This window comes from Homo sapiens, chromosome 10 (genome assembly GCF_000001405.40).
Source record: "Homo sapiens chromosome 10, GRCh38.p14 Primary Assembly".
In the NCBI taxonomy this organism is placed as follows: Eukaryota; Metazoa; Chordata; class Mammalia; order Primates; family Hominidae; genus Homo; species Homo sapiens.
The window spans coordinates 59,061,719-59,087,429 of record NC_000010.11 but is presented as its reverse complement, the minus strand read 5'-3'; the positions used below and the strand labels follow the sequence as shown (position 1 = coordinate 59,087,429).

Here is a 25,711-nt window from a genome sequence, read left to right as displayed (position 1 = left end):
AGGCCAGGGGGCTTTAGTTCCACATAGTCAGAGACTGAAGGCTCTATAGTCTTGTCGATCCACTTTCCTCTAGGGCCTTAGTCAACTCCATTTAATTGGTGGATGGGGAAATAGAACAAGAATCCAGTTTAGGAGGTCTTCATGGTCCAAGACATGAAGTGGTACCTTTCAATTCTACTCACTTTTCTTTGGTTTGAACTCAGTTGCGTGACCAACCACACCTACCACAAAGGAGACTGGAAAGTGTGGTTTTGTGCCCACAAGAAAATTAATGCAGTTTATTGATGGCACCAGTTACTGATGAACACCAACAGTCTCGGCTGCATAAAGGCTATTAGTGGTAGCTCAGGTCCACATGAATTTTGTTTAAGAAAATTATTTCCTTCCTTCTTTCCTATATTAAACAGATTTTTGTCATAAGCTTGTAATATGCAGACATGTGCTAAATGCATGGGATTATAATGATGATAATACACAGAACCTATTCTTATAGAGAACTAGTCACAAACAGAAAAACGGCAACAAAAGGGCAATGTATCTGTTGCTTGCTTTAGATGGTGTTGCCTCTGGACTGATATGGCTCTGGCTCCTCAGATTGGAGCTCCTTAAAACAATGCTAGATTCTCAGTATCTATTTGTTGGGAGCATTGGTCCCTTCGAGCTCTGGCATTTTAAGATTTTTGTGTTCCTGAAACTAGCAAGAGCCAGGAAACGAGGTAAGAAGGCTAGGCAGGCATCAGGAATAACGTGAATGAGAGTTAGCAACTGGAATTTAGGGGTAAAATGTGGTAGAATAGAGACCCCACTGGGATAGTAACTTGGGGGGTATTTTATGACTTAAATAAATATAACTTTATTATGGTTAAGCAGTTCAGTGGATCTTCACAGTAGCTGGAGCACAGTGCCTGTACTGTCAAATATGCAAAAGTCCTCAAACTTTGGAGTACTTAAGAATCATACCAGGAACTTTTAAAAATTCATGTTTCCTGGCCCCAAATTCCATATATGAAGGGCAGGAATCTAGAATATGTATTTTTAGCAAGCACTTCTAGATGATTCTGTTTCAGAAAGCTTGAGATTGAGATTACGTGTCCCAAACAGCTACTGACTGTGGTAAAGCTCAGTGGAGTCAGACTTCCCCGTTTTCTTCTCTCCTGTAAGGTGTCATGTGGTAGATCAGAGGTGATCAGCATCCTTCCGTCTCAGTTTTTAAAAGTATCTTAGTGCTATGGTTTGCCACTCCTACACCCATTCCTATCACCTTTTTAGTGGTGCCAGCATTCACAGAGAAGTTATGAGAAGAAGGGAGATTGCAATAAAACTTTCCGCTGGATCCTGCTGTTGGCACACATTTGGACAAAAATTAAAGAAGACAAATGAGTCTATGAGACAGCTGGTTCTCAACATCTGGCTGTCTAACACTGTGGACAACACATCTGGATTCAAGGCTCCTCATTCCCCTGTCTGAGTTGGAAAGTTTAGGGTCAGAGAAGCTGCGTTTTTCTCCGTTTACATAGTTTACCAAAGTATTCTCATGATTAGGTTGACTCAGAGCCACCCCAGGGGTTGGAAAATTAGGTCCATTCCCACAGACCACAGACTCAGGCCACCCAGAACTTCAGAAGCTGCTGAGAAGACCCTGCCCATCACCACCAAAACATGGTATGGGACTGTCCTTCCTCCTTCTACACTTCTCAAACTACATTTAAAATTTTTTAAAAAATATTTTGCCTTACAGGGACTGCCCTAGACACTTACTCTAACCCAATTTAATCTGGAAACAGATGCTAAAGGTGGGAGCCAGGATATTCCTACAAAACCGTCAGATCCACAATATAGTCAAGAACAACATTTAGGACCCCAGACCCCACCCGGTAATCCTATCACACCACATCTGCTTGTTTTTGAAATTCCTTTTGCTTCAATTTCAAAATGTGAAGCAGCTGCTGTGGTAGAACCCTAAGTGCATGAGTCTGTATACACAAGGAAATGATACTTTATAAGCAGTGGATTCTGAAACTATAACTGGAATACCCTTGTCACACCTGTATCTCTGCAAGAGAAAATGTTTAAGTGAAGTTTTGGCTTTAACTAAGATTGCCAACTTTCCTTTTGATTGTGGCAGAATCTACAGTTAATTGAGGTCTCTGATGACTAACAGGGAAGACTATCCTATTAACTTGTGGTGTCTCTGGGTTTTGAAAAGTGAAAGTGGATCTGGCTGTAATCCAATTGCAAGAAAGATAAAATTAGCCAGAAAGAGTATCTCAAATGAGGGACAAACCTTGGCATGTTATTTTATTCCTTTACTGAGAAATTCATTGTACCCCACTCACAACTCACATTAATCTATATGGAATTTCTGCCAAGTAGGATGGGTGCCCAACTACCTAAGGACCACTCCAGAGGCAAGCAAGTTGAATCTTGAAGCTCTCATATTATCCTGTTTATGGGGGACACGGAGAGAGACAGTCTGGAATTTGTGGGAGGTTCCTCCTATTTGTGAGCCTTTTCTGACTTCCATACACAGCTCAGGAAATAATACTACATAAATTCTAGTAATTCACAAAGCAGCAGAGCCAGGAGCAGCTCCATGTGTTGTAACTGCAATGGCAATCAGAAGACAGTCATGGCTGAAGGAATATCCTTGCAAGCCTTTTGGCTTTCTTAATGAGAGATAGGGTCCTACCTGCTACTGAAGCTTGGCAAGGGTTCAGATACTGAGCATCTAGTTACTGAGTGCATACTCAGTATATATATAATTATATATTTACATATATATATATATAGTTACAGATATAGTAACTGAGTATGAGTATGCATTCAGTAACTAGAAATTATAGAGCAAAGGGAGGATGGACAAAATTGAGGAATGGGATACACTGATGTTTAGTATACTAAATCACAATCTTGTGAAAGGAGAGCTCTGAGTCTATTAGTTCATTCATTCAGTCATTATTTATTTAGTGTGTACTATGTACTAAATACTGTGCCAGTAATAAATAATGTAATAGTAAGCAAGACTTCCTTTTGGAGCATCGTGGATATCATCATGTAGTGTTAGTTGCTATTATTGGTGCTAGAGGAGCCCATAGCATGGGAAGCCACTGGAGATTTCAGAGATCAGGAAGGTCTTTCAGGAGGAAAAGACTTTGAGCAGGCACTTTTTCAGGCCTTTGTTCCTTAATGTTTAAAATGAAAACAATAAAACAACCTCATAAGTCTGGGATAAAAATTAAATGAGATGATGTATGAAAAGTTATTAGCATAGTCGCTGGACACAGTAAGCTCTGCAAAGATATAGTCAATACTATTATTCTTGTCTCAGTGTTACTCAAACTATCATTACTAGTATACTATAACTAGTATTATTATTGCTTTTATAATTATTTGGGACTTGAAGGGCTGGTAGATAAAAGCCAGGGGAAGGATAGAGACCCTGACAGACAGAGTAACAACATGTTTGAGGGGCTACAGGCAAGAGACATAATAGTCTGGGGTGACTGGACATTTAGTATGTATAGAGTATAAAACAAGAGACTGGCTGGAGACATAGACCAGATTGTAATCATGAAGAATTTTATAAGACAAGTCTAAAGAGCTGAGATTCTACCTCAAAAGCCACAAAAGGATATTACATGCAGTAATATGATCACACACAAACATATCCCACACACAGACTTACACACTCACACCACACTTATAGCCATAATTTTCAAATCGTCATGTCATATTACAGCTAGGCTTTGTAGAAGAGATAATTCATGCTTTTTATATTTAATATTCAGAGAACTGAGTCTAAAGGGAGTAATAGGACATAAGCAGGATAGCAGAAGTAATTACTGCATATCTTTTGAATGCAAATACCTTGCTTTTTCCCATCACACCACACTGCTCTCCTTACCACCCTTTCCATTATTAATACCCTGCTGTTGGTCAAACTGGAAAACTTAGTTTCCCAACCAAACTCTTTACCCTTGAAAGTATGTGGGTATCTGTAAAAAATTCTGATACTGTTGAATTGTCTCTAAAAACCAGACTCAAACTTCACACAGTATATTACAGTGGGTTCTTGGGAATCCAGTGGTTTCAGCTTTTAAGCACTGTAGAATTCTCCACAAGTAGATTTTACTGCAAACTGCCCTCCAACCCCCACCATGATTCTTCTATAGATAAAATTAAATACCAAATTAACACAAAGAGCACAGAGAAAATGGTCCCAGAGGAGCACCCTACAGATTTCAGGAGAAAAAATCATGTTGGAGAATGGATTTGCCTTGATGTTGATTCTAGGTGGTTTTGGGGCTTGATTGTTTACAAGTTTTGCTAGGCCACAGAGACAAATTCCTTGCCGCTCTCAGATGCCTTCCTCAATCACTGACTATAAATTTGATGTAAATCACCAGACTGTAAATTTGATGCATTCTGCACCCAACAACCTACCGCTTCCTCACAAACTGTTTCAAGGGTTACAATCCTGATTTTCCATATGTTAACAACTTTGAACATACCGCCAAAACGCATCTGTATTAGGTATCTCTCTGTAGAAATGCCTCTATTGAACTACCATGTAATATTATATATTTTTAAATTGTGTGTTCATAAGATGTCTAACCTGGAATTCCCCAAAAGGCCAGACGCATGGACTTGCCTGCCAATTAGTAGTTTATTTTGGGAGGTGGCCCTAATGACTAGTAATGGGGGACTGAGAAGAGTGAAAGAGGGAAGCAGGGAAAGCCAGTCCAATGTGTGTAACTGACATGGTCACTGAGTGGGCAAAGAGTCTCAATACTCCTGAGATGTTCTGAGGAGCTGAAGACAACAAGCCACAAAATTGTCCTTAAGAAACAGAAGAGACTAATTAATGACTCCCATCTCCATTGGTTAAAGGTTTGTCCCACAAGTAGTTAATTTCCCTGCATTTTCAGGCTTGTGCATGCATCAGAGTGTTGAACAGGTTTCTACAGGTGTCCCACGTGGTGATGACAAAGCACAAAGCAAGAGACGAGTGCGGCTGAGGCAAAGTATGACTGGGATAAGTATCCCAGCAATGGCAGGAGAAAAATGCAGACCAAGAGGATGTGAGATGGAGCACCAGAGGTGTCAGGAAACACACAAGGTGTAGAAGTAGAACTAGCATTTGAATCCAAGTAGTCTGTTTTGGAAGCCCAAGCTCTTACAGCAGTGGTTCTTAAACTTTAGTGTGCTTCACACTCAGCTGGAGGGCTTGTGGAAACATAGCTTACAGAGCTCCACTTCTAAAGTTTTTGATTCCGTGTGTCAGAGGTAGGGGGCAGATAATTTGTACTTTTCTCATTTCCCAAGTGGTGCTGCTGATGCTGGTCAAGGAACCACATTTTGAGAACTGCTGCATCACACATAAACACTGCTATCTTGCTAAGGGTCACTGAGAATAGCAAAGGAAACATTCATCGCTATGGGGGAAAGTTGTGCCCAATTCACTGACTTTCAAATTTTTAAGAAACTGCTTAGATGCCTCTCAAAAGGAAAATGTTCTCCTCCACAGGAAATACATGGTCTAGATCACAAATATTTGTGTCAGAAATGATAAGCTTGGCTCATGAGGCACTAGACAATCAAAGAAATGGTATTGTGATCAACTGCCACACTTCAGGCAGGAATCCTAAAGAAATAATTGTGAAACTTAGAAAGTCGTGAAAATCCAAGAGGCTTGGAGTATGATGAAGCTGAACTTCAAAATGAGAGTGTGAAAGTGAAAATGGAGCAGCCGTCTTAACTAAATATTTATATCTGGGGTGCTCTGTAATGGGCTTTCAATTTTTGCTACATATCATGAATAGCTATTACACACAAAACTGAAAAAATAAATAAGACATAGTTTCTATTTTTAAAAGTTTACAGTTGAGTAAAGATGAAAAATAAGAAAGCAATTAAAATAAAAAGATATTGGGTAAACTTTTGGAGAAAGAAACAGAACTCTGTGAGAACATAAAGTAGCAAAATTTTGTCTCACAAAACTTAAAAAGATTTTAATAAGGAGGTGATAATTAACTGGGTGTAAAGGAGGAATAGGGCTTGCTATGCAAAGAAGGAAGGAAAGACCATTCTGGGCAGAGGGAACACCACACAAGGCATCATGAAAGGCCCGAAATGTGTTGAAAACGATGTTGTGATCAGCTTGATTAGAGTATCAAGGTATATACTGGAACAAGACTGTGAAGTTTTCATGTGCCAGCTAAAGGCTTGAACTTCTTCTAATAAGCAGCAGAGAGATAGCAGAGGTGTTAAAACAAAATTTGGCACAAGCAGATGTATTCTTTAACATTCAATTTTTTAGAAAGATTTCTCGATGAAGTGTGGAAGATGAAATTGATTGGAGAAATGAGGTGTGGAAGATTAAATGTGGAAATGAAGATTCTGAAAACAGGCACTGGCAGCAGGGATATTCTATCTCTGCTGAAGCGGGCAGGTTTGAAAGATAAAGAAAGCTCAGAATCAAGAATCTAAATGGATGCAGGATATGGGAGAGAAGGCGGCATAAGGAATTTCAGGAGTTAGTTATCAGCTTGGAGTTAGTTCTTCACAAATATGTGAGCTCTTTATCTGGCTCAGTGGGTTTTCCCATAATGCTTAAGGGTTTTTGTTTGGTTTGTCTTGCTATTAAGCACGTAGGCATAGGTATAAAAAGAGACTAAAGCTTCCCATATTGTTTTCAAAAATACTAAATATAGGTAAAACAAATGTGTCAAGGTCAAGTAAATTCTCAAGGCTGTCTTAAATGTGCATTGAGATCCTCTGAGTATTCCCTATTCCCTAATTTACCCAGTTCTTAAAATTCCTTTTATTACAGAAGACCTCTTAGGACCTGTGTTCCATTGAGCACATTTTGGAAAATGCTGTCTTAGGAGGCCCAGGAGTTCATCTCTTTGACAGTGGGGTAACTCCTAACAGAGAGCAAAATGGAAGGAGATCCCTCCAAGGAGGCCTTGTGGTGGAGTGGACAGGTACTGACTTCAGAGGCAGTCAAACCTGGGACAATACCCAGATTCTACCCTTAATAAGTCTGTGATTTGGGGCGAGTTAGGTAAACTCTGGATCTCAGTATACTTGTCTGCAAAGAGCAAATAAGGATGCCTACCTTGCAGAGTTGTTGGGGAATTAGGAAATATGTATATAAAGTGTCTGGTACGTAAGCAACAAATTATAGCTGCTAATTTTACGTTGGATAGGCTTAGAATTTTAGCTCTGCTAAAATTATGTTATTACCACTTCTCCTGTTCCAGCTTTTGACTGCATTCAGAATGTCCTTATCCTCCTGTGTCTCCCAGTGCTTTATATCTTTACCTTTTGTTTTGTATTGTTCTCAAGTGCTATTGCTGCCTGTAACCTTCTACTGGTGTGTGTTCTTGCATGATTTGGCTTTTGTTTTCTGAACTGGGTAATCAGTTCATTGGAAGAAGGTCAACGTGTCTGTGGTGTGGAACTACACTTGATGATTCTAGGGTCAGAAATCATAGAGTTAGGAGAGTGCTTTTCAAAAAAAAAAAAAAAAAAGGCAAAAGCAGAGTGAGAAATCTGGGAAGCTGGAACATGAGCTATTTCTGTACAATTCCATGGCTCCAGATCCAATTTCTGTTTTGCTAAGAAGGATGACTCATAAGGCTAAATCACAAGCATATCAGAAAAAATAACTATTATGACCTCTTCAGGTTGTGGTTGAAAATGATTAAATATTATCGCAAGGATACTTCCTCTGGCTGGAGGGTAAATGTTGGCTTAACTGGAACAGAAAACGAGGTATTCCGTTCTCAATTATAACATTCTAAGCCAGTGAATTTTTTTAAAATGGTGCATCACATTTGCTCTAATATCAATATCTGATATCAGCTTCTACTCAACTTCTGTCACAAGCCAAAGTAATTTAGAAACATTACTGCAATAAGATTGTCATTAGTCATCAAGATTAACAAATTTTAGGCATGTGTTTTTTCATTTTTCTGCTCAAAATTTTCCATGGCTCCCTATTGTTTACTGAATTAACCACAAACTGCTTGATATGCAATTTAAGGTTCTCCACAGAAATCATGAAGCAAAAGGGAACTAAATTATACGTCTTAGGCCATGCTTCTCTAACTTTATTATACATACAGATGGCTTGGAAATCTTCATAAAATGTGATTCTGATTCAGTAGGCCTAGTGTGGTGTAGCTCAGAGGAAGGCTATAGCAAGATCTTAGCTGATGAGGGATTAAGGAAGCAAGAAAGAACCTTAAGCACTAAATCCCAGCCATGGCAGGAAACAAGACAGTGAAGGGCTTCAATGGAAAATAGGAGTAAGAGATGAAGAAGCCTGGAAAAATTCCCAAGAGGATTTTCCTCCAAATGCTACACTCTTTGAGACAAATGCAGGGTGCTCAGGCATTTGCCTTTCTTTCTAGGGTTTATATTTTTCTCTATCCAGGTACTTCATACCAAGTTTCCAAGAGGCTTGGAAGTAATAATGTAAAACCACTTGATTTTTTTTTTAATCTATACTATACTAGAGCTGTGTTCTAAGTTGGAGAATATGTTCCTTGACTCTTCCATACTTTAGAAAATATCCATCTTTTTAGGGTAGACTAGGGCAGCCTTCACTTCTCTTTGGTCTGAGAACTTTAATCATGATATGTAGGGGCCAGACCATCAGTCACAAAACCCATTCCAAAATCACATGGACGGTTTCATGCACATCAGACTTGCCACAAAATTCCAGATTTTTAAGGTGTTAGGATGATAACTTACTAAACACTTACTATGCAATGGGTAGCATTATAAGGGCTCTATATACATTATTTCACTTGAATCATAATACATCAGCTCTGAATGACTGTCAGTTCAATGGAATTGAATGTCTCATAAAATACTTCTAAAACCTTTTTTGGGGTTTGGTTTAAGTTGGTCCTTTATATGATTGGTACATAGTGGTTTGTGTTTTTGTGATTGGATACTGAGTATTTGGCTTCTCTTCCTAATTTTGAGATTATTAGACTCAACGGTAATTACTGAAAATTCATTATCTATAACTGGAGGTGATTTTGAGCATTAATAATGCATTTGAAGTGTTCTCATTTGGTGTTTGAAAAACATAGTGTTCTAAAAAGTTTGAGTTCTTGGCACCATTGTTCCTTCTGGGAGTTTGCTCAGCTCCTTAACTGAGCCATTTTCATTAATCAAACTGTTGCTTGGAGCTAGGATAATACCATAGGAAGTTCTCGTATGAATCTCACTTTGGCCTTTACTTGGTTAATATTCCATTTTGAAATTCAGTTCATGGGTTATGTCTCCCTTCACTGACTTCTGTGAAAGTAAAACATTTATGTGTTAAATTGTTACCTGCTTACTTGCTTTTTAAAGAGAAGTCCAAAGGTTAACAAAATAGAAATATTTTCTCAGCAAAGCTCGGTTGTAATATTAAACTTCCAGTTTGTTTCTGGAACCAGATCCACAGGAAAGCATTCTCTACTATGTGGAACTGTTTAAACACAGATGCTTTTGGTCCTGGTCTCTGCTGCAGTGGTTCTGATCATGGCTGTGTGTAGAATAACCTTGGGAGATGTTTGAAAGTATAGATCTTTAGATCCCCATCACAGCTCTAGTGAATAACAGTCTCTCAAGTATGGCCTGGAACATCTGTATTTTATTTATTTTATTTTATTTTATTTTATTTTATTTTATTTTATTTTATTTTAGAGACAGAGTCTCGCTCTGTCACCCAGGCTGGAGTGCAGTGGCGCGATCTCGGCTCATTGCAACCTTTGCCTCCCAGGTTCAAGTGATCCTTATGCCTAAGCCTCCTGAGTAGCTGGGGTTACAGATGCATGCCACCCCACCCGGCTAATTTTTGTACTTTTAGTAGAGACGGGGTTTCGCCATATTGGCCAGGCTGGTCTTGAACTCCCAGCTTCATGATCCGCCCACTTCGGCCTCCCAAAGTTCTGGGATTACAGGCATGAGCCACTGCACCCAGCCGGAACATCTGTATTTTAAAACCACTACCATCAGCACCACTGACCACCAGCTCACTGCATGATTCTTGTGCCCAGCCAGGTTCAGACCCACTGCCCTGAAAGGGTCTGATCAAAAATGGAAGACGGCCATGTCTCTACTTGGCCAACAGCTTAGACAATCAGAAGTGTGCTCTGGGGAATACATCAGAATCTCCTGTGAAGCCTACTTAAAAGGCCAGTTCCAGGACCCTAACCTGGACTCTGAATCATAATTTCAGGGTCTCAGAAATCTCTGCTTCTGTCAGGGTCCCCAAGGGATTTCCACGCACACTGAAGTTTTAGAATTCCTTTTTATATGAGTGAGCAATCAACCACCTAGGAATACTGTATTGAGTTCTGTGCTGTTATTTTATTTTACTTCTTATTTGTGGGCACAATCAGAATCATTCTAAGGAATTGTTCTCAAAATTTTTTTAAAGAATTAGTGCCCCTTAGTGAAATCTATGAATCTTCTCCCTAGAAAATTTCACACAGGCACATACACATATTTCACACTTTTCATTTCAGAAGGTTCACAGACTTGAGACCAATTTATATATTCCAGATTAAGAACTGGTGTCCTGGAGAACTGAGTTGATTGACTTCAGTAAACATTTTGTCTTGATGAGTCCACTGCAGAACACAGCAGGTCTACAGAAATAGAGGAGATGTCTGGCTCAGAGAGGTAGAGTGGAAGTGAGAACAGGGAAGAGGACACCCAGTTAAGGCCCTGGTCAACATGAAGTCCAAGCTGAATGGAGGCCTTCTTTTATAAGACCCCCGAGACCAAGGATGTGCGCAAACACTCTCTTTTTCCCTCTGACCCAAGAACACTGTGATAGGTAATAGCTGTTTCTCAATGAAATAAACATTTTTTAATACCTACTATATGGCAGCCATTGCCACAAGCTGGAGGTACAGAGATGGATCAGACACATGTGCTGGTTTCAAACGGCTCACAGCTAGTGGTATATTCCATATTGCTGGCTCTCTCACAAACCTCACTATCATGATCATGAAATATCCAGCCAAAGACATTAACCGCAGTTGCAGAGATTTGCCTGACTGCTTTCCTATTTGGTCTTTCAGCCCACTGCTCAGTGCATTCCTCTGTGGGCTCTGCTCCTGGCCTCCATCCCTAGCCCTCCAGATTTGCTTCTCCTCCTTTGGGTTTGGTGACCCATTTGGACTTCCTTCTCTGGCATATGAACCTCATATTTCCTGGACATTTGGCTCTACATACTCTAATGGCTTTGGTGCCCCTGGAGCTCTGGCCTCCAACATCAACATCCCTGGCCCTCAAAATCCTCATTAGCACTGCAGTTCCCAACCTGGAGAGAAAGAAACTTTCATTCATTTATTCGACAACATTGAATGTGCCAGATACTATTCTAGGCACTGGGAGCACATCAGTGAGATAAAGAGACAAAAATCCCCAGGCTCATAAAGTTTACATTTTAGCAGGAAGAAATTCACAATAAATGCAAAATAGTTTCATATATAGGCACATAAATAATATATGTAATAAACACAGTCAATTTTTATTACTCATGGACTCCATATTTGTGAATTCATCTAAGTGTTAAAATTTATTTGTAACCCCAGATTAAAATACAGCATTTTTGTGGTCATGTGGTCATTTTAAAACATGCCAGAGCAGTGAAAAACTTGAGTTACCTTACACACATGTCTCTAGCTGGTGTCAAACAAGGCAAAGTTCCGCCTTCCTGTTTCTATCCTCATACTGTAAGTATCATTTTCTTGGTCCATTTAGTCCCACATTTCTTTCATTTTTGTGTTAATGATTTTTCTGTGGAAAATGTTCCCACCCAAGCATCATGCTAAAGTACTGTTTAGTGTTCCTTAGTACAGGAAGGCAGTAACGTCACTTACGGAGAAAATACATGTGTTAGATAAGCTTCCTTCAGGCATGAGTGGTAGTGCTATTGGCCATGAGTTCAATATTAATGAATCAACAATATATATTAAGTAAGGTTCCTTTAAATAGAAACATACATAAAACAAGGTTATGTATTGTTTGGTTGACAAAAACATTGTGACCAGAGACCTGTATAAAGCGTGATGGTTCAGTATTCACTGATTCATTGTTTGCAGTGACATAACCACAGTGAATAGTGAGAATTGACTGTATATATTAATATTAGATTGGATTTTAGTTAATGTTATGGATGAAAAAATAGGTTCCAAGGTATACAGGGAATGTCCAGGGTGGGGGTGAACCTCCACTTTACAATTTGATGTTCAAGTGACATTTGAGCAAAGATGTAAAAAAGGTGAGGGAAGAATCCATGAGTCTCTCTTGGGGGGAAAGTATAGTAAACAGAGAAAAGAGCAAGTACAAGGCCGTAAGGCAGGAACATGTTTGGGGATGAGAACGGAAGGAGATTAGAGGAGTTGGCATGGGGCAAGCAAAGGGGAAAGTAGTAAAAGCTGATATCAAAGCCTGAACAAGGAGCAAAAGATTCTGTAAAGACTGTGACTTTTCTTTGAATGTAGTGGAAAGCTACTGAAGAGTTTCAAGTAGGGAAAGTGACATAAACTAACTTAACGTTTTAACAGTATTTTCTGTGTTGAGCATAGACTAAAACGGAACCAGAGTAGTAGAAGGTAACCCATTTAGGAGGCTTAACAATAATCCAGGGGAGAGATGATGGTGGCTTAGTCCTGGGTGGTCACTTCGATAGCAGCGGAGGTGGTGAGGAATGATTAAATTCAGGATATAATTTGAAGGTAGAGCCAACAGGATTTGCTGCTGAGGAAATGTGAAATATAAAAGATACAGAAGAAGCAAAAATGATGCCAAGGATTTTGGCCTATGCAACTGAAAAAATGGAATTGTTATTTGATAAGTCAGGCAAGCTTGGAAAAGTACAGGTTTATGGGTGGTATAATCAGGAGTTCTGTGTTGCACATTTGAGATATCCAAGAGATGCTCAAGAAGAGACACAGACTAGACAAATTCAGTAGTAGTTCAAATTTCAGAGGACAGGTCTGGACTGAAGCATCATCGTTCCATTGATGGCTTTATAGCCATAATCCTGGATATCCAAGGATATAATATATTCAGGATATAATCCTAAGTATATATCCTGGAGACAGATATCCATATATTGATATGGCAGCCAGAAGAAAGAAGAGGCTCTAGTTCTGACCTTGGAAGTGCTACAACATGATGGAAGATGAAGAAAAAACAGCTAAGAAAACTGAGAAGGAGCAGTAGATGAAGTAGAAGACAAAAACAGGAAAGTAAGATTGCCCTAGAAGCTCAGGGAAGAAAGTGTTTCAAGGAGGAGGAAGTGATCAACTGTATCAAATTCTGCAGTGGAGTCAAGAAATATGAAAAGAGAACTGAGCTTTGGATTTAGCAACACAAAGATTAGTGGTGATCTTGACAAAGCAGCCTAAGGATGAAAACTTAATTGTAGTGTATTCAAGAGAGAACAAGAGGAGATAAATTTGAGGGTCAGGAAAGAGGTTTTCATTAATGCTGGGAAAAATTACAGCATACTTGTTGTCACAAGGCAATTTTCCATGAGTCTCTTGCATTTCTGCATGTCTTATGATAAAAGACATTGATTTTGCTTTGGTCCTAGAATTCCTTTTCAAGGATATTTGTACAGTGAACAACTTTGAAGACAGAGAGGGCCTCTCTCTCCAGATCAAAAGGCCGTCATGTTTACTGACCAGGTTAATAAATAATTCAGGTTCCCCAAGTTCAGGGTTCCTCTCTCACAATGCAGCTCACTATGTGTGTAAGTACCACCTGGCCCTTTTTGCATCACCCTGTGGGAATTGGGGCTCAGGTAACCAGCACAATAAAATGCTGATCCTCTGGCTACTCTTGTTGCTGTCAGCAATTAAGTCCTTTGTCAATGACCCAAGAGGCTTATGGCTTTTCCCAGCAACCATGAAACTGTGGCAGGCTAACTTGTGGCCTGCAAGTAGGGTGAAACCTCAGACCCTTCGCAGTTCTTGACACTTGTACATTAGTAAGAACAATCCAGCAGAGAAGAAACAAACTATTGATGTAGGAGACAGGGGGAAGGATTCCTGGGACAATGCCTTGAGTGGTAAGAGGGGCTGGAATCTATTGCTCAGGTATAGGATCTCAGACATTTCTTCAATAGTAATAGAAAAGAAGGTAGAGTAAATGGGAACAGATGCTGACAGGTGGATAAGTATGGTATTGGGAGCGTGGGAACATTCTCCTGCCATTGCCTTTGTTTCTTCAGTGAAATAAGAAGCATTGTCATTAGCTGAGCAAGAGGTTGGGAAGGAAGTGCTGGAGGTTAGAAAGAGAGGAAAAGGTACAGAATTGTCATCTATGCATGTGGAGAGAATGAACTAGACAGAAGCAGCTGGACTGATGAACATTATTACTGTCCTAATTCTCACTAAGAGTGAGAACTCTTAGCAGTATGTACTCACACTTGCCCATTATGACAATCATTATAAACAAATGATGGTGACTTTTTCCTTCTTGGCATTAATAAACCGCTGTGGTCAACAAGTCTGTATTATCACAGGTACATGGGATGCACAGTCAAGTCATGTGGATCCAATTCACCAATTACACACCAGCACTTTTGCCCAGATGTTCTGGGGGCTTATGTCTCTGTGCAAATAAAGCTTTAGATTCACATTTTTGTAACAAGTGGCTATTCTGTTTGCATTATGAAATTTTAATTGCATTATTAGAGAATGGCTGTTCAATTTGTGTCTTTTATTGGTGATGCTCTGTTTTCTAGCTTACTAGACATTTACTTTATTTCCAGCTAATTACTCTAGCTTAGATTTTAATGTCCTAATTAACTATCCTGATTAACTTTATGACAAGAGCTGCAGCATAACAATCAATTTGTACAAAAATGTAATATAAATAGTATAGCCCTTTCACCTGCAGAGAGACGAGGAAGGCAAAGCTGGTGGCATTCATTTAGGCGTGGTCCCACTGAACAAATTTCCTTTAAAGCCCAGGCACATGGACAAGTCCTCAGTGTCTTGGTGAGACATCCTCACCAAGGCAGCTGTCTTGGCTGGGCAACTTCTTCTCAATCAAAACATTCAAGCCCCAGACACTTTTTGAAAACTAGCCAAGCATGCCAAGAGGAAACATAGTGAGGCCTGTATTTCTCAAATAGTCTTTATTCAGTCAGGACTCTCTGATATCCTATTTGTTATGATGATTTAATTAGTCAACCAACAAGCACTTCTCCGCACCTCCCATGTGTTCACATTGTTTTGTATATTAGTCAAGATAGGTTAGGCTCTGCCATGGTCATAAGTAACCCCCTAAAGCATAGTTGCTAAGACAGTAAAGGTTTACTTTTCAGTCATGTGAGTCCTATGCAGGTCAGGACACTGTCCCTCATCTTGTGCTATTCAGTCTGGGATATGGGGACCCCAAGGTTACCATGGCATGGGGAAAAAAAACCCAGAGTGTTAACAGGATGGATTTGGCTAATATCACTTTTATACATAGCATATTGAGCAGATTCCAATACATGACCCTAACCCTAAGTGCCAGGAAAGCTGAAGAATGTGAAGGAGCATATGCATGGTTGGGGAACCCCTATGGTTTCTATTACATTGTGCCAGGCACTGAGAATGGACACGAGGGAGAAGAAGGCTGAGTCCTTGCCCCTGAGAAGATTTTAACCTATTAGGGTGCAGAAGGGAAAGCAACTGACATTCGCCAAGTACTTCTCTTTGTCAGGTACCTTACTAGAGATATTATAATATTTTAGTTCATTTTATAACACTGTGTTTATCATTCATCCACTAGTTATTGAACAACTACTATTTCCTAGGGACTGAGAAGTGCACTAGATTTCAAAGTTGTCTAAGACTCAATACAACCTTTCAAGAGAAAAAAAGAAGATAAGCAAAACTGTCAAGCCAATACAATATAGTGTGATAAGTACCACAGTAGGAATATATGGGTTTCCTAGAGCTGCTCTAAAAAAGTATCACAAATGAGGTGATTTAAAACAACAGAGATATTTATTATCTCACAGTTTTGAAAGTTAGCAGTCAGAAATCAAGGTGTCGGCAGGGCCATGTTTCCCTCTGAGACTCTGGGTGGAATCTTTCTGTGCCTCTTCCTAGCTTCTAGTGGTGTCTGTCAATCCTTGAGATTCCTGGTCTTGAGCTACATCACTCCAATATCTACCTCTGTCATCACATAGAATTCACCCTGTGTGTCTTAACCTTCACATGGCATCTTTCTCTTATAAGGACACCAGTCTTATTGGATTAGGGCCCACCCTAATGACTGCATCTTAACTTACTATATCTGCAAATACCTGTTTCCAAATAAGGTCATATTCATAAGTATTAGGGGTTAGAACTTCAACATATCATTTAGGGGGACACAATTTAATGCATAAAAAGAGATAAGCTCAGGATACTATGAAAACACACAGGAGTAACACTTGAGTCAAAGAAATTTCCTAAAGAAGATAATGTCTAAGCTAAGTCCTCAAAAACTAAAAGTGAACAGTCATTGGAAGAAAGGCACTTCAGGCAGAGGAACCAGCATGTGCAAAGCTCTAACAGCAATAGAAAGTCTGGTGCACTGTGCAAGCAGTTCAATCTGGCTGGAGATGAAGTTCAAGTTAGGGGTAATGGGGAATTTTATGTGTCATCTTGACTGGGCTAAGGGATGCCCAGATAGCTGGGTAAAAACAAAACACACACACACACACACACACACACACACACACACACACACACACACACACTTTACTTCTGGGTGTGTCTGTGAGGCTATTTTTAGAAAAGATTGGCATTTGAATCTGAGTAAAGAAGATCTACCCTCATCAATGCCAGTGAGCATCATTCAATCCATTGAAGTTTCAAATACAACAAAAAAGTTGGAGGAAGCATGAATTCTCTCTCTCTTTTCTTGATCTAAGACATCCATCTGCTCCCATTCTCAGACATCAGAGCCCCTGGTTCTTGAGCCTTCAGACTCTGGGTCTTGCAACAGCATCAACATTCCCCCAACCAGTTCTCAGGAACTTTGCCCCAGTTCTCAAGTCTTCAACCTCAAACTAGGAGTTAGACCATCAGTTCCTCTGGTGCTCAGGTGTTGGAACTTGGACTGAAAGCCATCACTGGTTTTCCTGGCTCTCCAGTTTGCAAAGGGTAGATTGTGGAACTTCTTGGACTTCATAATTGCATGAGCTAATTTCCATAATGTCTACTTAAATCTCTCTCTCTCTACGTATATCCTATTGGTTCTGCTTCTCTGGAAAACCCTGACTAGTATAGCGGGAAAGTAGGAAGAGATGGGACTAAAGGGCTGGAGAAAGTCTTGATTGTGAAAGGGATTTGAATGAGCTGAAACTTTATCCTGAGAGCCAAAAGGTTTAAGCAGGAAAGTAAGAGTATCAAGGGAAGTATACTTTTTGACAGTATGAGAATTTTCAAAACATTATTCTGATTGCAGAATGGGGCAAAGATTGAAGAGGGCAAGGTTGGAGTTTGGAAATTATTATAATAATCTAGGGAAGAAGGAGTGACAGCCCTGAGAATGGTAGTAAGAGTAGTGGTAAACAGAACTGGGAAGATGCTGGGGATATTTAGAAAGGAAAATTATACTTTATGGTTATTAAGATGTAAGGGAGAAATAATGGTAAAAGATGACCACCAGTTTCTGGCTAGATGGTGGCACATAATTTAGTGAGATAAGGAACAATGGAAGAGGAATAGCTTTGACAGGGGGTGGGGAGTTGGGGTTGGGTGGATTGAGGATGGGAAAGTTGCTGATGGTGAGAAAGTTGCTGAGCTAGAAATACCTGTAAGACATGTCATGGGGAACCCAGGCAGTTTTATAGCCATGCAGGCTAAAATCCCTATGCTCTTTCAGCCAATAGGTGGACACATCCTATTGTCCACCAAACCTGCACTAGCAAAATTCTAATGGAAAACAAAAATATGCTTACACTATTCAGTACCGAGTATAACTGGAATTCATCAAAAGGAAAGTCCTTGTGACCCAAGAAGAGAGATAAGTCTTGAAGAACAAGGCAAAGACTCTTGAGCTACGTCTTTGAATGATAGAATTTGGAGAGCCAAAGAGAAGTAGGAAGGCATACCAGGTAAGAGCACGGCAGGAGGAATGGTGAAAAGGGAGACTGAGCCTGGCCTCCTGGGGTGAACAGTTCAATTTGAGAAAATGAAAGAGATTAGATGGGGCAAGTGAAGACAAGTGAGGGAGGTCATGGCAGCCAAACAGCAAGCTCTTTTCAGTGTCATCTCACTAAAATGGCACTGCCTATCTCCCAAGAGCATCTCATGCTCTCTCTGGATATGAGGAGAAAGCTCATTCCACAGTGCTTTCAGAATGAATGAACGCATGCATGAACATTTACTGGGATCACCAAATTATTAAGGTTTCTTTTCGATCCATGAGTCAGCATCTTTGTTTACACACTTTATTTTAGTGACTTTTTCTTGTCCTTCAACGAGAAGATGAGGACATTTTTTTAAGAGAAAAGAAAAGAACAAGATGATTTTGCTTTTTTAGTAATGGGGATTTATTTTAGTCTCAGGGGAGGCATCATAGAAAAAAACCCTCAGCCAGAAGTTAGGACATTGTGATTCTCAGCCACTAACGAGCTGTATGACCTTGGTCACTAGGCCTCTGCAGGCTCTGGTTGTTTCATTTGCAAAATAAAACCCAGACCGGGTCATCTTTCAGTTCCCTTCCAGCTCTATTATTTTATGATTTGCTCTTAGTCTTTATGAGCCATGTATGATTTATCAGTCTCCCTGATGCACTCAACTCCAATGATGCAAAAGCATTGTAAAGAGCTGAATTTTGACTATGTTTTCACAATGTCAGAATAACTCAATGGTTCTTTTAATTCAATTAACCAAATATTCTGATACTTTCATGCTGGCCTGCATGCAACTGTACCTGGTTATGTGCCAATTCTGTTTGATGTCCATACCAGTTCCTACCCAATCTGATTGGTACCAACGAGGGAGCCTGGTTTAGTTATCTTACTTTGACAGTACCTGAAGATGATTGTTTAACCAGGGACTTTACAGTAGAAGTTCTTTGATTTTAATGTGGGAGAGTGGGGTTGGGTGGATTGAGGATGGGAAGGTTGATGAGGGTGGGAAAGTTGCTGAGCTAGAGATACCTGAGAGCTAGAGATACCTGACACCTGAGAGACATGTCACAGGGAACCCAGGCAGTTAGATAGCAATGCAGACCAAAATCCCTATGTTATTCCAGCCACTTCCTATTGCCAATCAAAGTTCCACTAGCAAAATTCTAATGGAAAACAAAAATACTCTTACACTATTCAGTACTGAGTGTAACAGGAGTTCCCTGAAGGGAAAGTCCTTGTGAGAGAGAATGCTCTGAGGGAGTGTGTGAAAATGCAGATTCCTGGGCCCTAACCTCAGAGAGTTGTGAAAGGTACCCAAGTCTCTTCATTTTAACAATCTCAAGGTAGGGGTCCCTTGACCATTATATGAGAAATGTTACCTTAGATAGGGAAAAAACTTTGCTGAAAAACATTAAGTCAACACCCTAGATAAATTGTGGTTTATGGTTTATAAACCAGTAACTTAATTGTGGATGTTGGTATGTGAAATTATTGGGATGGTTGGTAGTAGGACTACTACTTGGCTCTGAAATTAGCAACAGTTCACTCTGAGGACAGGTTGGGAAAGCGCATAGCTCTGAGTGGCTACCAATATTTTGCCTCCTTCTGGCTTTATGTGCTGCTCTGACTACTGTTGTCTGTTTCTTAACTGGAATCATCAATTTGTACTGATGTTGATATTCCCATTGAGGAGAGGTCCATCTCTCTCTAGAGCATCCAGTTCTTCTGGTCTGAGCTTCATGTTTCAGACAAGGAGCTCATCAAATTCCAAGTTCACCAACTTCCCGGCTTGCTCTCTGCCCTGTCTTGTTTGCAGTGTCTCTGCTTTCATGTAGGCCTGTGTAGAGATACAACCAAGCTTGAGGATGGAAGGACTGCTGTGAGATACTCTGAGATGACTCTCTTTGGAGACTCCTTGAGACAGTTTTGTGCTGCTGAGCAGTGGGAGATTTTAATCATGATACTCAGCATTACAAAGAGGATTCTCCTTGTAGCTGGAGTCTGGAAAACATTTCACCATTTTTAAACGGTCTCAGTTGCATCTTGCCTTTTGGTTCTTTCAGTGTATGAGAAGTAGGCTTCTGTTTACAGAAGTTTTATAATTTGTAATTACAGTTTACAATACTGGGTTCTGTTTAACACTGAACATATTTGGAACAAAATTGACCAGTCTGTCTGATAGTGTATAGGCACATAACCACAGCACAACCGAGTAACAGGGTTATTGTGTGTCCTTCCCTACATCTCCACCCTGCCTAGAACAGCCTAAACCAGATGGTCCTCAACCTTTATTCATCACAATCACTCTATGAAGAATTTGGAGGGGAAAGGGTTGCTTCTAAAATACAGATTCCTCTTCCCACCTTCATTGGGCTTGTGCTAGGGTTTAGGAAGCTAAAAAATTAAACAAACACCCCAAATATTGGTGATTCTGATGACCACAGTTGGTGAAATATTATCTAGCTCTCAAAGCTTTCAGGTTTACATGGTTCTTGGGCATGACATGCACTTCCAGGTCTCGAGGGCTTTATTCAGTTTGCTTCTGCTGAAATGCCTTTCCTAGCTTTGTCTAAGGATGGGAATTGAAATGTCAGCTCATCCTTTGAAGCCCAGCATAAATGTCTTTTCTCCTGTACCTTTCTCACAAACTCTCTCTTCTTTACCACTGTACTTTGCTCTTCATCTGTGCCCTTATTGCATTTTCTAAATAACACAAATGTTATACATAAGTAGTTATTAATACACTTGCTTTTCTAAAGTGTGAGCTTCTGGAAGTCAGGGGCTGTGCCATCCTTGTTTCTTCAGTGCTCAGCATTGTATCTCACATGCTGTATTACTCTGTTTTCATGCTGCTGATAAAGACATACCCGAGACTGGACAATTTACAAAAGAAAGAGGTTTATTGAACTTACAGTTCCACAGGACTGGGGAGGCCTCAAAATCATGGTGGAAGGTAAAGAGGAGCAAGTCACATCTTACGTGGATGGCAGCAGGCAACAAAAGAGAGCTTGTGCAGGGAAACTCCCATTTTTAAAACCATCAGATCTCATGAAACTCATTCACTATCATAAGAACAGCGCAGGAAAGACCTCTCCCCATAATTCAATTCAATATGAGATTTGGGTGGGGACAAGGCCAAACCATATCACAAGTTTTAGGTACTTTTTTTTTTTTTTTTTTTTTTTTTGAGACTGGATCTCACTCTGTCACCCAGGCTGGAGTACAGTGTTGCTATCTCCACTCACTGCAACCTCTCCTTCTGAGTTCAAACGATTGATTCTCATACCTCAGCCTCTTGAGTCACTGGGATTACAGGCATGTGACACCATGCCTGGCTAATTTTTGTATTTTTAGTAGAGATGGGGTTTCACCATGTTGGCCAGGCTGGTCTTGAATTCCTGATCTCAAGTGATCCACTTGCCTCAGCCTCCCAAAGTGCTGGGATTACAGGTGTGAGCCACTGTGCCTGGCCTTAGGTACTTTAAAAATACTTTGATTCTAATAAACTGGTACAGACACAGCTAAGCTGTGTAACACATCTGCACAAACTAATACACAGGTAGCAGTTGTTTTCTTCAAAATGTTGTAAAGTAGCACTTTGATCTTTAGTGTCCTCTTTAGTATCTCAACAGTATAAAGGCACAGCGTGAGATGAAATCTTAGTGTTTTAATCAGGAGGCCCTATACTTGTGTGGATCACTCTTTCCACTGTGGTCGCCTTTTCCAGAATCAGACTGTAGAATCACTGTTCACTCTATTGCGTGTGTTGCCTTGTGAGAGAGCGATTGCTTCTGGGGGTGAACAATAAAGAAAACCAGAGGCAGAAGAGAAGAATCTTAGCGGCAAAAGCTGGGATCCAATTTCCTCACCAGGACAGCTTCTTTTCATCTCTAGTGAGGAGGTCATTTCTACCTTATTCTTTGTCTGTTTCAAGCTTTCTCAGAAGCAGCAGCTCCATGGGAACAGGCATTTGCTGTCACACGTCAGGTATTTAGGCGTCTATTAAGGAAAGATGAAAAGAATATTAGATGTGGCAGGGAAGAGGAGAGGCAGTGGAGAAGAGTGCAGAGGACAGGATTTGGACTGTGGATGGGTATCTTGCTAGTGGGAGTAATGTGTGGCTGGAGGGGGATGTAGTGGCATCTATTGTCAATCCCCTTAAGATTCAATTACCAAAGGACCTACAGCTGTCCTTCCTGTACTCCAATCAGCTGCAAAGAATCCAGAGGGAGGAGCACCAAGCAGAGAGCTTCAAGAGCCTGAAAGTAATGCAGCTTTGAAAAATTTCAGTTAAGTCTAGTCTGCTTTCCTCCAGTATCTCCCAAAGTGTCTGAAACTCAGCTTGATTTCAGCCCAGAATCAAAATGTCCCAGAATCTCTCCTCCAGGAAATATTTTAAAAAGATGTTTGTATCTATTACATTTCCTCTTCACGACCATGCTGTGAAGGAGACAGGCACAATAAGAAGTCTCAGTTTTGGAGATGAAAAACCTACAGTCCAGTAATTTCCTTAGGTACTTCAATTAATGACAGAGCTATGGCTGAGTGAGGAGTAATCGCTCATTTTCCAGCCATGCTGAGGTACAGGTTGGGGTGTAGGGAGGTGAAGGACTATTTTTTCCCTCCCAGACAGAAAGCATGAAAGAATAATAAAACTAAGAAACAAAATATCCAGCTCAGTCATTTCTAAGAGCAGAGTCCAATACTCAATGGACTGTTGATGGCAGATGTGTGAACACTAAAATCAGAAAAGGGGACTTTAATCTGGAGGTAATGACAAACTCAGTGTGGGAAGAATCAATTATTATGTGAGTCACTGAGCGTTGTTATGAGCAGCAGCCTTTCACAGAAAGCACCTTATTGCCATAATACGGCAAGATAAAGAGGGCTTCTTTTTCTTCAGATCATGGGAATTAAAGCTATTACAATTTGGGCAGAAATTACTTTTAAAAGCATTTGTTTATCACCTATCTCCCAGCTACTGAGTGCTGAAAACAAAGGCAAGCATTCTCTTCCAAGCCTCTGAGTGCAGGCTATCCAGTACCAGTTATTATTTCTTCAAGCCTCTGAGTGCAGGCTATCCAGTACCAGTTATTATTTCTTCAAACCTCTGATGAGAATCACTATTAGACCACCAGTTTCTGGATGATTTAGGGGTTGGAGGATTTAAAGTCCTAACCTCCAAACACATTGATCATTTTCTATTTTTAATCAGTACATATGTCTGAGAGCCTGAACTACATTAGATCATATTATCTCTTTTGATGGAACTAAATGGGTGTGTTGGGGCTAATGGGCAAGTTTTTCTTCCCCTTCTGAAGGTTCACTGAAAAATCAACTCATGAAAGGTAGATTAATTGGAGAAAAGGCATACAACTTTTTCTAATGTGTACATGGTAGACTTCAGAATAAACACCCAAATATACAAGGGAAATTGTCCATTTTTATGCTTAAGGTTCACCAAAGTAAGTACAGCCATGTAGAAATATGGTGGAACAAAAAGGGTATGATCTAATGCTAATAGACTGAGTGGGGAGACACAGCAAGGCCTGTCTGTCTAGATTCTTCTCGTTCTCTCTGAGCAGCATTCCTTCCTTCTGGGTGTGTGGCAAATCCTCATCTGGAATAGGGGTCATATGACCTACAGTCAAAGAAGGTAGATCAGATAATTTGTTTATGGCCAGTTTTCATACAGAAAGGTGGAGGAAAAGTTAGAGTGATATGTTTAGGTTTTATGGTTGGCTTTGGGGAAAAGGGGTTGCAATTTCCATAACATACCTTGGGGAACAGGGATTCTAGTTTCTATATCTAGCCTCATGGAAGAATGAGAATGAGAGGCTGGAGGACAGGAGAAGGTCAGAGAGAAATTTAGACTGCTTCTGAGGCCTTTTTTTTTTTTTTGGTATTGTTTTCTGAGTCCCGACAGGGACATAGGAGTACCAGAGTGATGATATTCTCTTTAGACTTCTGAGACACTCTTCAACATTATTTTATGACAAAAGTCCATGAAAATGACATAGATATGTGAATAATGTAGCTGAAAGTGACATAATAACTAATTGGCATCTAAAAAGGCCTAGATTAATAACAGTGCTATTGCCTATTATCTTTCTCCTTTTAAAAGATGACTTCATTGAGGTATATTTTACTTACCATATAATTCACTCACATCAAGTGTACAATTCAATGATTTCTTAGTACATTTTTGAAGTGGGGGCAACCATCACCACAACTTAGTTTTAGAACATTTCCATCACCCCAATAGGACGCCTCATGTCCATTTTATGGGTTAATTCCCACCCCTACTCCACACCAGGCAACAACTAATCTACTTTCTCTCTCTATAGATTTGCCTTTTTTGGACATTTTATATAATTGAATCAAACAACAAGAGGTTTCTTGTGTCTAGCATCTTTTGCCTAGCGTGTTTTTGAATTTTACCAATGCTGTAGGATGTGTCAGTAGTTTGTTCCTTTTTGTTGTTAAATATCATTCCACTGTATGGATATACACATTTTGTCCATCCATTTACCAGCTGGTGGTTCTTTAGGTTGTTTCCAAGTTTTGACTGTTATGAATAATGCTGCTAAAAACAGTGGTGTGCAAGTCTCCATGGATATGCTTCCATTCCTCTTGGGTATATACTAGGAGTGGATTTTTTTTTCTTGGGTTACTCTCACTTCCCTTACCATGGAATTTCTTTAAAATGATGACGCAAGTCAATCTATGTATCATCTGACTCTTCCATTGGAAAGTCAAAGTGAAAAGGGACGATAAATCAGGCAGTCAAGGGATATTTGGAGGCTGAAATCTCCCAAGTTGGTAGAAAACAATTTTCCCTGAGAAAACCCGTAGCAGGAAATGGGTAAAAGCACATGACATCAACCAATGCAGAGAAAGAGAAGTTGAAATACTCTAGTTTACATTTTCTCCTATCCTTCAATCTCCTGCCACTGTATGCTTTTGGCCAAATATGGCTAGAAGCCAGTTGGCAAAGGCATCTGGAAAAGAGAGCAGGGCAGAAGAAGGGCAGAGAGAAAGATAATAGAGCAAACAGGTAAAGGGCCAGCTGTGCCTGCTTACTCACCTAATTCACAGTCGTCAGTGTGTGTGTGTGTGTGTGTGTGTGTGTGTGTGTGTGTGTGTGTACACCATGGGCCTTCTGTCCTCCCAAATAGGGCCAATACAAATTCGTGTAAGTTTTCTGTGCCTCGAATAAGATGCTAGTGCCAGAAGGGATGTTATCAACCATCCAGGCCTATGGTTTTTGAAGTCCCATAGGAGAACTGCTGAGCAGTAATTAAAACAGCGCTGCTTTTTTCTGCTTTACATGTTAAAGCTTCTAAGTAAAATTCACATTGGGTAAAGTCCATGGATTTAAAAAGGTAGATGTTCACTGGTTAGCCCATCTCTGCCTTTGACAAGTGGAGAAAATGAAGAATGAAGAATTTAGCGACATTTTCGAGATCCTGCTGAGCTTCCTCCCACAGCTAAAAAATATTTGCTGAGAACAGAGCCAAGACTCGGGTTGCCAGGGGTCTGTGCACTCACCACCAA

General features: G+C 40.1%; 1 long non-coding RNA gene across 1 annotated transcript in view; it reads right to left on the bottom strand.

Annotated features, from left to right (window-relative positions):
• Window positions 1-21,312: 21,312 nt before the first annotated feature.
• Window positions 21,313-25,711, bottom strand: part of LOC102724768 (uncharacterized) — a 52,436-nt gene continuing 48,037 nt past the window's right edge. The window contains exon 3 of the long non-coding RNA XR_428752.5: window positions 21,313-22,153. This is a non-coding gene — a long non-coding RNA (uncharacterized LOC102724768). The remainder of the gene's footprint in view (window positions 22,154-25,711) is intronic.